At 41.3% G+C, this 12,761-nt stretch overlaps 1 protein-coding gene across 39 annotated transcripts in view, besides 1 other annotated feature; it reads left to right on the top strand.

Moving 5' to 3' along the window:
- FNBP1 (formin binding protein 1) overlaps positions 1-12,761 on the top strand; it is a 166,693-nt gene that overhangs the window by 97,912 nt on the left and 56,020 nt on the right. The gene's annotated exons all lie outside the window — the stretch shown is intronic.
- Positions 11,224-11,303: a silencer, noted in NCBI's record as "silent region_20394". NCBI's record gives its function as "represses an Ori minimal core promoter by ATAC-STARR-seq in GM12878 lymphoblastoid cells {active_cell/tissue: GM12878}" and the evidence as "EXISTENCE:reporter gene assay evidence [ECO:0000049][PMID:35858748]".

The following is a 12,761-nucleotide window of genomic DNA, read 5'->3' as shown; positions in this document are numbered from 1 at the left end:
AAATATTTAAAATGTTATTCAATTAAAATAAGTTAGATTAGCCCAAAGTTTCAAAAGATATTTTATGTTGAATGAGGCAAATCAGTGTATGTATCATTCATATATGTGTGTGTGTGTGTGTGTGTGTGTGTGCGCGCTAAAAGAAGTATATATGTATATATTTTAGAGATACCGAGATATGGTCTCTTTTTATTTTATTTTTTATGTTTATTTATTTATTTTTATTTTTTATTTTATTTTATTTTTTGAGACAGAGTCTCGCTGTATCGCCTAGGCTGGAGTGCAGTGGTGTGATCTTGGCTAACAACAACCTCTGTCTTCAGGGCTCAAGTGATCCTCCTGCCTCAGCCTCCTGAGTAGCTGGGACTACAGGAGCCCACCACACCCTGCTAATGACCCTGTCTCTAAATAAATAATTTTTTTTTTTTTTTTGGTGTGGTGTATGGGCTCATGCCTATAATCCCAGCACTTTGGGAGGCCAAGGTGAGCAGATTGTTTGAGTCCAGGAGTTCAGATCCAGCCTGGGCAACATGGTGAGACCCTTTCTCCATAAAAAATACAGAAAAATTAGTGGAGCATGGTAGCCCATGTCTGTGGTCCCAGCTACTCCGGAGGCCAAGGTGGGAGGATTGCTCGGTCCTGGGAGGCAGAGTTTGCAGTGAGCCACAATCCTGCTGCTGCACTCCAGCCTGGATGACAGAGCCAGACCCCGTCTCAAAAAAAAAAGCACTCAGCCTCTAAACTGTCATTTCATTTCTGTTTTTTTCTGTAGAGATGGTCATATCAGCAGCAAGTAATGATAGTTGCATTTCTTTTCCAATCTTCATGCCTTTTGTTAATTTTTTCTTATCTTAACTCTGCTGGTTATGCCCTCTGTTTTGCTGAGTCATCATTGTGGACTTCCTCAGCTTGTTCCTGATTGCAAAGAGAGTGCTTCAAAAGGTTCCCCATTAAGAATGATTTTTTTTTTTTTGGGACGAAGTTTCACTCTTGTTGCCCAGGCTGGAGTGCACTAGCGCAATCTCGGTTCATTGCAATCTCCACCTCCTGGGTTCAAGTGATTCTCCTGCTTCAGCCTCCCAAATTGCTGGGATTACAGGCGTCACCACGCCCAGCTAATTTTTTGTATTTTTGGTAGAGATGGGGTTTCACCACGTTGGCCAGGCTGGTCTCAAACTCCTGACCTCAGGTGATCCACCAGCCTCGGCCTCCCAAAGTGCTGGGATTACAGGCATGAGCCACTGCGCCAGCCAAGAATGATTTTAATATACCCTTTATTGGTTAAACAATTTTCCTTTTCCTGTGTTGCCAAGAGCTTTTTTTTAAGCTTGACTTATTATTGAATATCATTAAATATTTGTTCTGCTTCCTTTAATTCATTAACGTGGTCAATTACATTAATCAGTTTTTTTTACATTGAGCCAAATTAGTGTTCCTGGGACAAATTCAACTAGATTATGATGTATTATGTTTTTATGTGTAGCTGAATTTATTAATATTTTATTTAAGATTTTTCATTGAAATGGTCTGTATTCATTGAAATTGATCTATAATTTTCCTTTCTTGTCTGTTCTACTTTGCATTACTTATGAGTTTTGGAGTGTTTGCTCTTTTTTCTGAAATAATATATGTAAAATTAAACTCACTATCCCTTAAATGTTTTATGATACTTCTTTGCGTAAATCAGTTACAAACTACGGATTCCATATTTTATTGTCTACTTCTGGGTTGATCCTAGTGGGTTACCTTTTTATAGTAATATATCCATTTCATCATAAATTTTCAAATTTATTGGCAAAAAGTTGCCCATAATATGTTCTCACCTTAATTTTTGCTGCATATATCTCCCCTATTTACTCCTAATACCTTTTTTAATACTTTTTTCTTTTTTTCTGGATACGTTTTTTAAGAAATTATTTATGCTTATTTTATTATATTATTATTTTTTGTATATAGAGATGGGATCTCACTATGTTGCCCAGGTTGGCCTCAGCCTCAGCCTCCTAAAGTATTAGGATTATGGGCATGAACCACTGTGCCCAGCCTTAAAATCATTGTTACTAGTATCAGATTTTATCTTTGTGGAGCCTCCCTTTTCTATTTTTATTTTCTATTTATTTAACTTCTTCCCCCACCACCCCCATTCCCCTCCTTCTCCTTCTATCATTACCTTTGGATTTATTCCATTACCCTTTTAAAAAGTTCTTTCTTTAGATGCTTACCTCAGTCTTTCTTCTTCTCCATTATAAACATTAAGATTACAGACTTCCCACTTAAGTACTGTTTTCTCTGTATCCCACATATTTTGGTATGTGGTATTATTAATGTTGTCCATTTCCAGATATTTGTCCTTTCTTTTACTGTTTAATCTCTCACCTATGATCAATTTAGAAGCATGGTTTTAAATTTCCAAATGTATGACATATTTCAACTTTTGTTACAGATATTTATTTATTTATTTATTTATTTATTTTTTCTGAGACGTAGTCTCATTCTGTCACCCAGGCTGGAGTGCGGTGGTGCTATCTTGGCTCATTGCAACCTCTGCCTCCCGGGTTCAAGCAGTTCTCCTGCCTCAGCCTCCCTAGTCCTGGGATTACAGGTGTGTACCACCACGCCCGGATAATTTTTTGTGTGTATTTTTAGGAGAGACAGGGTCTTACCATGTTGGCCAGGCTGGTCTCAAACTCCTGACCTGAAGTGATCTGCCCGCCTCAGCCTCCCAAAGTGCTGCGATTACAGGCGTGAGCCACCATACCTGGCAAGATTTCTAACTAAATTGCATTATGGTCCTGGGAAATCTGTATGAGTTTGAGTCTTCTCTATTTGTTGAGATTCGTTTTATACCCTAGTACACAGTCAGTTTTTAGAAATATTCTGTAAGTAATTGAAAATAATATGTATTCTCTAGTATTTTTATTAGGCCAAACTTACTGTTTTATCCAAATATTCCTATCATTAAGGATTTTGTTTTTCAACTTGTTCTAACACTTTCTGAGAAAAATGTGTAACATCCTTATGTCTTAATTTCCTTGTCTATAAAATAGGGACACTGAGGAACAGGATTGATGCGAATATTAACTGAGTTAATATGTAAAAGGTGCACAAAACCATTTATGGGATGTTGCCAGTGATCTACAACTATTACAGTGATAATGGTAGAGGATTATTGATGTTCTGTCTATTTTACTCTTTTATTATGGAGTTATTCTATTAAACAAATGAAGTTTAGAATTGTAATATGTTCAAGTGATTTCATTTTTCATCAATAAAAAGTGGCCCCCTTTCCCAGTCAAGCTTAATCCCCTAAAGTCTATTTTACCTGATGTAAACCAGATATCTTTAAGTTAACATTGCCTGGCAGATCTTTCCCATACTTTGACTTTATACTTTTCTTTGTCCTCATATTTACATGTGTCTTTTGCAAATGGCATGTGGCTGGTTTCTGGTTTTTTGTTTGTTTTTTTCTGTTTTTTGAGTCTCACTCTGTCGCCCAGGCTAGAGTGCAGTGGCATGATCTCCACTCACTTCAACCTCCACCTCCCAGGTTCAAGCGATTCCCCTGCCTCAGCCTCCCAAGTAGCTGAGATTAAGGTGCCTGCCACCACACCCGGCTAATCTTCATGTTTTTAGTAGAGACGAGGTTTCACCATATTGCCAGGCTGGTCTCGAACCCCTGACCTCAGGTAATCTGCCCACCTCAGCCTCCGAAAGTGCTAGGATTACAGGCATGAGCCACCGCACCTGGCCTGTTTTTTGTTTTGTTTTTTTGTTTTGAAATAGAGTCTCGCTCTGTTGCCCAGGCTGGAGTGCAGTGGTGTAATCTCAGCTCATCGCAACCTGTGCCTCCCGGGTTCAAACCGTTCTCATGCCTCAGTCTCCTGAGTAGCTGAGATTACAGGTATGAGCCACCACACCTGGCTAATTTTTGTGTTTTTAGCAGAGATGGGGTTTCACCATGTTGGCCAGGCTGGTCTCGAACTCCTGCCTTCAGGTGATCCTCCCGCCTCGGCCTCCCAAAGGGCTGGGATTACAGGTGTGAGCCACCACACCCAGCCTTAGCTTGTTTGTCATGCTTTTCACGGTATTGTTCAAGTTCACTGTTAAAAGAAAGCTTACTGTGATTGCATCCAAACCTGAAGATGCTGTGTAAAACTGCAAGATAGACCAGCAAGACTTCTGGGTTATACTAAAATAATTCCCCCATATAAGAAGTCATATAAAGCTGGGTATAGTGGCTCATGCCTGTAATCCCAGCCCTTTGGAAGGCCAAGGCGGGAGGATCGCTTAAGCCCAGGAGTTTGAGACAAGCCTGGGCAACATGGTGAGACCTTGTCTCTACAAAAAGTTTTTTAAAAATTAGCCTAGCATGGTGGTGTGCCCTTGGAGTCCCACCTACTCTGGAGGGTGAAATGCGAGGATCACTTGAACTTAAGAAGCAGAGGTTTCAGTGAGCCAAGATTGCACCACTGCACTCCAGCCTAGGTGACATAGCAAGATCCTGTCTCAAACAAACAAACAAACAAATAAATAAATAAATAAATAAATAGAAATTATATAAGAAGGTACAAGTCACCTGGGCATGATGGCTCACACCTGTCATCCTAGCACTTTGGGAGGCTGAGGCAGGAAGAGTGCTGGAGGCTAGGAGTTCAAGACCAGCCTGGGCAACATACAGAAACCCAGTTTCTACAAAATAATCAAAAAATTAGACCGGGCATGGTGGCTCACGCATGTGATGCCAGCACTATGGGAGGCCGAGGCAGGTGGATCACCTGAGATCAGGGGTTTGAGACCAGCCTAGCCAACATGGTGAAACTTCATCTCTACAAAAAATACAAAAGTTAGCCAGGCATGATAGCATGTGCCTGTAATCCCAGCTACTCGAGAATCGCTTGAACCCAGGAGGTGGAGGTTGCAGTGAGCCGAGATCGCACGGCTGCACTCCAGCCTGGGTGACAGAGGGAGACTCAGTCTCAAAAAAAAAAAAAAAAAAAAAATTAAAAATTAGCTGAGCGTGATGGTTTGCACCTGTAATCCCAGCTACTTAGGAGGCTGAGGTGGGAGGATCGCTTGAGCTCTGGAGGTGGAGGCTGCAGTGATCAGTGATCGCACCACTGCACTCCAGCCTGGGTGACAGAGCAAGACCCTGTCTCAAAAAAAAGAAAAAGGTACAAGTCGTAGTAGAGAAAACTGTGAGGTTCAGAGCAGACTGTGTGTAATTATGAATGTGTGTTTCGTGGATCTTTAATCTATGGTGATGGAGGCCTAGACTTAAAGTGGGTTCTCCCGAAGCGGGCATTACCTGGGTTCATTACCAAGCTGCATTAATGTCAGTTTTCAACTTAGGGTTTGGACTCCACACATGCTCTGAGTTCTGGCTGTTTGTGGTTCAGAAATTTCCAGGATGACTTTTTTCTTTGTTTTTCTCCCTGAGGCCAGATCCAAGGCAGTTTTAACTTTTAAAAAGTGCACTTGCTGAATCCAAAGGTGATTTTAGGACTTTTAACTTGTGCTGCCAAATTGAATTGCTATCCTCAACTATTTGAATATTTCCAAAGATCTAGTACTTTTTCTTACACTGGGAGCATCGTTTTGCTATTTTTATGAAAGTGCCACTTACCTCCTTTCCAAGGATATGATGAATTACCCAATTTTGGCATCACAAACATTGAAGCTGAGGGAGCAGCAATGTCTAAACATTGAAATTCTTAAGTTATTTTGCTTTGGATTTGACTTGAAACACTGTAATTTCCCAAAACACCCAGTACTTTGACTGTTCTGTCAGTTTTTTACTTTGTTGCCTGTGAAGGCTTATGTCAGCGTCAAGCTAACTGGAGGCAGTTTTAGTTCTTATCATTATTTAATGTCATCTCCCATTATGATTTCTGACAGTCTCTGAATCTAACATAAATGTTTCTCCCCCAGTTCCCGCAAATGATTAAATTATCTAATTGTATTCAAAGCAGCGCATCCTCCTTTTTTTCTAGCAGCCAGCCACACAGCACTGGGAACGGTAAGCCTGTGCTTACAAAAGCCTTATTTGTACATGTGAACTTTGTCTTGTGCTTGATACAATTGATATGAACTATAAGCATACGTTCATTTTTTAAACTACCTAGGATCCTGGGTATAAGCCTGATTTTCTTTTCTTTTTGAGAGTTAATGCCCAGATATGGATTGAAACCACATTTTGAAACCACATTTTTATTAGCACTGTGTTCACTGTTTTTTTTTTTGTTTTGTTTGTTTGTTTGTTTTTACTTTTTGTGGTGATCGAGGTTTTGCTATGTTGCCCAGGCAGGTCTCAGACTCTTGGGCTCAAGCTATCCTCACACCTCTGCTTCCCTAAGTCTGGCAATGCAGGTGTGAGCCAATGTGCCTGGCCAGCACTGTGTTCAAATCACCTCCATTCATCCACATCCATGCTCAGACTTCGGTACGCTTTGGCATTGTGTTAGATGCCAGCGTGTGACCAGATGTTTAGTAGTTCCCTTATAAGACAGTATATGTCATCCTTAAGGCACCCAGTTTAATTAAAAGTAAGTTTACAGTATAAAGTAGATATAAGAAAAAGCTAGCAGTTTTTATCTCTGGGCAAGAGTGCAGATTTGGATGCCATGAGGATGCCATGTTCCTTAGAGGAAAAATGAAGAGAGGAAATCAGCTTAATTGAACAATTTTTATTGGCAGGGAAAACTCAAGGAACCATGCAGTCTCTTTTTCTTCTTTGACATTTTGCAGCTGTCATAGAGTTTTGAACTTGAAGGCTTTGAATGAGCTCGAGTGATTTGGAATTAGTTAATCTGGGTTTGTACAAGAAGCAGTACATGTTGGGATAGGTCATCCTGCAGCTCATGACCCCTGTGTTTCAGCTGAAGGTGAAACAGGCTCCCCTGCTGCCCTTTCAACGAGGTGGACTAGACATCCTTACTCTCTGTTTTGGGATATTGAGAGGGAAACTGCAAAGGAACATGGGAAAATTATACCATGTCCGCATCTTACTCTTGTAAAAAAAAATTAATTAAAACACCGAGATAAAGTATTCTTTGCCATTCTTCTCAGAGGTAGTTACTCTTAACCCCTTGAGGTATGTCCTTCTGAACCCTTTTAAAACAGCTGTTTTGGGCCAGGCATAGTGACTCACGCCTGTAATCCCAGCACTTTGAGAGGCTGAGGCTGGCGGATCACTTGAGGTCAGGAGTTCAAGACCAGCTGGCCAAATGGTGAAACTCTGTCTCTACTAAAAATACAAAAATTAGCCGGGCATGGTGGCACGTGCCTGTAATCCCAGCTATTTGGGAGGCTAAGGCAGGAGAATCGCTTGAACCCAGGAAGTGGAGGTTGCAGTGAGCTGAGATCATGCCATTGCACTCCAGCCTGGGGGACAAGAGCAAAACTCCGTCTTGAAAAAAAAATACCAAAAATACAAAAAATGAGCTGAATGTGGTGGCTCATGCCTGTAATCCCACTTACTCAGGAGGCGGAGGCAGAAGAGTCTCTTGAACCTGGGACGGGGAGGTTGCAGTGAGCCGAGATCACGCCACTGCACTCCAGCCTGAGGGACAGAGCAAAAGTCCATCTCAAAAAAAAAAAAAAAAAAAAAAAAAAGACACCAAAATAGGTGTTTTGTATGAGCAATAGCACAGACAAATAAATTAAATTAAATAGGTATTTTGTTTGTTTGTTTGTTGAGACAGGGTCTCTCCCTTTGTTGCTCAGGCTGGAGTGCAGTAGTGTGATCAAAACTTATTGCAGCCTCAACCTCGTGGATTCAAGTGATCCTCCTGCCTCAGCCTCCCAAGTAGCTGAGACCACAGGGGCATGCCACCATGCACAGCGTAGAGACGGGGTCTCCCTATGTGTTCCCAGGCTGGTCTTGAACTCCTAGCCTCAAGTGATCCTCCTGCCTCAGCTTCACAAAGTGCTGAGATTATAGGTGTGAGCCACCACACCTGCCCCCCTCCTTTTTTTTTTTTTTTTAAATTTAAGGGAATTCTAGTAGAATTATGACTTCATGGACTTATCTTTTAAAAAATGCAACTCAGCCAAGTGCAGTGGCTCCCTCCTGAAATCCCAGCACTTTGGGAGGCTGAGGCACGCAGATTACCTGAGGTTGGGAGTTCGAGACCAGCCTGACCAACATGGAGAAACCCTGTCTCTACTAAAAATACAAAATTAGCCAGGTGTGGTGGCGCATGCCTGTAATGTCAGCTACTCGGGAGACTGAGGCAGGAGAATCGCTTGAACCCGGGAGGCAGAGGTTGCAGTGAGCCGAGATCACGCCATTTTACTCCAGCCTGGGCAGCAAGAGCAAAACTCCACCTCAAAAAAAAAAAAGTAACTCACTGGTGGGATTCCTAAGTCGTGAAGTATTCACATGTATCCATTCATTCCCTTGCCCGTTGTTCACTGACTATCTACTGGCAAGGTATGCGGGTATAGATGCCAGCACATAATCACACGATCCTTGACTCTGAGGAACTTGCCTTTTGTTTTTTCTTTTTTTCTTTTCTTTTTTTTTTTTGAGACGGAGTTTTACTCTTGTTGCCCAGGCTGGAGTGCAATGGCGCGATCTCTGCTCACTGCAACCTCTGCCTCCTGGGTTCAAGCAATTCTCCTTTCTCAGCCTCCCAAATAGCTAAGATTACAGGCGCCTGCCACCACACCCGGCTAATTTTTGTATTTTAGTAGAGACGGGATTTCACCATGTTGGTCAGACTGGTCTCGATCTCCTGACCTCAGGTGATCCACCCACCTTGGCCTCCCAAAGTGCTGGGATTACAGGCGTGAGCCACCGTGCCCAGCCTGTTTTCTTTCTAATGTTTGGTTTACTGTATTGTGAATTTTCCCACTTGCCCACCCAAACAACTCTTGAATGGCATTCTGGTGACAAAGACTTTAAAATCACAGTTTGTCTGTCACTCTGCTTTGAAATAACACCATGCTATACAAACTTGGATGAGAGGCTACACCTAATCTTTGTGTTCTGATAGTGTAGCAATGGGTTTAGTGTGGTATTGGGATGAGAAAGGAAAAGGTTATCAAAATGAGTGGAATGTGAACTAATATTTCTGAACAGAGAGAACAGTGTTTTCTAAATGCATGCATTAAACTGAGTTCATCCATGTCAGGCAATGAATAATTCCCTTTTTCTAATTCTCCCTTGCCTTATGACTGTTGGCTCTTACATAATTTCTAAATGCAAAATAGGATATTGTCTAACAGAATCTGCAGTTAGTGGTTACAAACAGCTGCAGAAATTGTTAGTTAAGTTCAAGTTATGTTTTTTAAACGCCAGTAACAATTTCTTCCTTTTCTTATCGGTCTAGTTTCATTTAACTTGTATGGTTCTTTTTCTGCTAGAGTCTCAATTTATGAGCCGATGTTTTCCACCAAAAGTTAATGGTGCCTCTTCATTCTAATTCATTGCAATTAATTCTGAGTACTGGATGGCCAGAAGAGCTCTCTATACAGTGCGAGAGGTTTCCTTATTTCTGACTAATTAGGAGTTTTTATTATATAACCCGATTTGAGGAAATGCTTTAAAACTTAAGTTAAAATCTGACCATGAGCACTGAACAGTGTATCAGTTTCTTTGGGAGTTTGCCTTCCATTTTTTGTATACAGACTTCTCGAAGTATTTGGCTTTGAATATGATTAACTTTTTAATTCTACATATAGATGTCCCTGTTGTGAAGCAGAATAGGAAATCCTGAGTTATTTATGAATTAAAGTAGAATTCTGTGATGTAAATTATAAAAAATAAAATTTCATTTCTGGTTTTTTGTTTTTTTTTGAAACAGAGTATTGGTCTGTCGCTCAGGATGGAGTGCAGTGGCACCGTCTCAGCTCACTGCAACTTCCACCTCCTGGGTTCAAGTGATTCTCGTGCCTCAGCCTCCTGAGTAGCTGGGACTACAGGCGTACGCCACTACACCCGGCTAATTTTTTGTATTTTTAGTAGAGATAGGCTTTCACCACATTGCCCATGGTGGTCTTGAACTTCTGGGCTCAAGTGATCCGTCTGCCTTGGCCTCCCACAGTGCTGGGATTACAGGTGTGAGCCACCATGCCCAGCCACATGTAATTTTTAATGTGTTATATATTCTATAATAGAATATTTTAAAGAGAAAAAGAAAGTTATAGATAGGAATCTGTCAATTTTAAGCAAGAATGAAGGAGTTTACTTTAAATGATGATCAGTTTGATAATTATCTTAAGAAAACAAACGAAATTTAGTAGTTTAGGTTTTCTTCGGTTGGAATCAGTGTTGCCAACTCTGTGAAGCCAACAGGATGGAGTTGGCTCTATTCTAAGTGAAGCCAGCTGCGTAGCAGAGTGTTAAATTTTTTTACCATTTGGGGAAACAGTCTCTAGCACAATGACCACTTTAGTTATTGTACATATAAGGAATTGTACTATTGAATATTTTGGTTACCATTGCTGTAGTACTAGGTTGACATCTTTATGGAACATGTTAATATCTTCAGTGCCTTCCCCACGTTTCTGTTTCTTCTAAAATGTCTGACTGTAGTCATCTGAAGGAATTGTTCACTATAACAATTTAGAGAACATTTTTTTTTAAAAAGGAAGTGGTTAGTATAAATGCAGGAAATAAATTTTGCAACTGCAGCTTAATCTTTTTAGGCTTAAAAAAGTTTCAAATGCTTTTTATTGCAAAGAAGAGAAAAGTATAAAGAATTTTATTATAAGTATTACCAAAAATGGATATTGTTGCTATAACTGTTCTTTTATAAGTGGATCAAGGTTCAAATGAAAGATTCTAGAAAAGACACGTTTATTATTCTCTTCTTTATGTCTGTGGAGTTTATATTTACTCCTAAAAGCATAATTATTAACAAGCCTATAAGTTAATGTACAAAATAGCAATCAAGCAGCATCGTTCTCATACCCTAGATCTGAAGATAGAAATGAAGAAATGAATTCCCTGAATATATATGTATTTATTTATGTGTGTGTGTGTGTGTTTAGCTTCAACACTTGGCACTTAGTATGTGGCCTGAACTGTTCTAAAGGCTTTTGTATGGTAAGTCATTTAATAAGGTATTTTAATTTTCAATGATAGTAAATGGCCTAGCCCATGGCTAAGAGCTTGTTCCTGATCTTTGTATTACGTGGAAGTGGGTTCAAATCTTGTTTCTGTCGCTTACAAATGGCATGACATGTGGCAACTTACTTCATCTCTGGTTCCTGTTCTGTAAGTAAGGATGCATATGCACCTCAAGGGCTGGGTGTGAGGTTTCAGTGGGTGTGATGTATGTGTAGTGGCCTATTTTTGAACTGCAATTGATTGGCTGACACTGTTATTGCCATCTGTATTTTGCCTGTATCCTTCTCCTTGCATTATTTCTGCCTCCTTCCTCCTCATCTCTTACCCTTTAGTCTACTTTTTTTTTTTTTTTTTGAGACGCAGTCTCGCTCTGTTGCCAGGCTGGAGTGCGGGGGCATGATCTCGGCTCACTGCAACCTCTGCCTCCCGGGTTCAAGCAATTCTCCTGCCTCAGCGTCCCAAGTAGCTGGGACTACAGGCGCCCACCACGACGCCCAGCTAATTTTTGTATTTTTAGTAGAGACAGGGTTTCTCCAGGTTGGCCTGGATGGTCTCGATCTCTTGACCTCGTGATCCTCCTGCCTCAGCCTCCCAAAGTGCTGGGATTACAGGCATGAGCTACCGCACCCGGCCATATTTTTAACATTCTAGGCATTCTGGGCATCTAGACATTCAACAAGAATATTTATTTGACAAAGAGTGTGAAACACCAGTAGGACTGTAATAGATACCTTTCATGAAGTCCCCAGTTAGCAGACTGGAGAGAGAAGGATGAGAGAAGCATGAGACGGAGAGAGAAGGAAAACTTGAGTCAGTTGGGGAATAAGGTAGAGTATGATATGTAGCATGCCAACTTGTGTGAAGATCATCAGAACGATAGCAGGTTTTTTTTTTTTTTTTTGAGATGGAGTCTCGCTCTGTCGCCCAGGCTGGAGTGCAGTGGTGCAGTCTTGGCTCACTGCAAGCTCTGCTTCCCAGGTTCACGCCACTCTCCTGCCTCAGCCTCCCTAGTAGCTGGGGATACAGGCCCCCGATACCACGCCCGGCTAATTTTTTTGTATTTTTAGTAGAGACAGGGTTTCACCGTCTTAGCCAGGATGTTCTCGATCTCCTGACCTCGTGATCCTCCCACCTCAGCCTCCCAAAGTGCTGGGATTACAGGCGTCAGCTACCGTGCCCGACCACAATAGCAGTTTAAAAGCAATTAGGCCGGGCGCAGTGGCTCATGCCTGTAATCCCAGCACTTTAGGCTGCCAAGGTGGGCAGATCATTTGAGGTCAGGAGTTCGAGACCAGCCTGGCTGACATGGCGAAACCGCATCTCTACTAAAAATACAAAAATTAGCTGGGCATGGTGGTGCACACCTGTAATCTCAGCTACTTGGGAGGCTGAGGCAGGAGAATCGCTTGAAGCTGGGAGGCAAAGGTTGCAGTGAGCCAAGATCACGCCACTGCACTCCAGCCTGGGCAACAAGAGCAAAAGTCCATCTCAAAAAAAAAAAAAAAAAAAGCAATTAATGATTGCTCTACATACTTGCCAGTGAGATAAAGGAAAAAAAATTATAAAAACGATCAATGAGGTCCATCATATATGAAATCACCTGGTCCTTTCATCAGCAAAACACTAGGAGCTCAGCAGTTGCTCCTGCATTCTGCATCTGAAAAAGGTCTGTGCAGACTGTAGGTTG

The sequence above is a fragment of the Homo sapiens genome, chromosome 9, assembly GCF_000001405.40.
Source record: "Homo sapiens chromosome 9, GRCh38.p14 Primary Assembly".
Classification (NCBI taxonomy): Eukaryota; Metazoa; Chordata; class Mammalia; order Primates; family Hominidae; genus Homo; species Homo sapiens.
The sequence above is the reverse complement of the archived record's forward strand: the minus strand, read 5'-3'. Positions and strand labels throughout refer to the sequence as shown.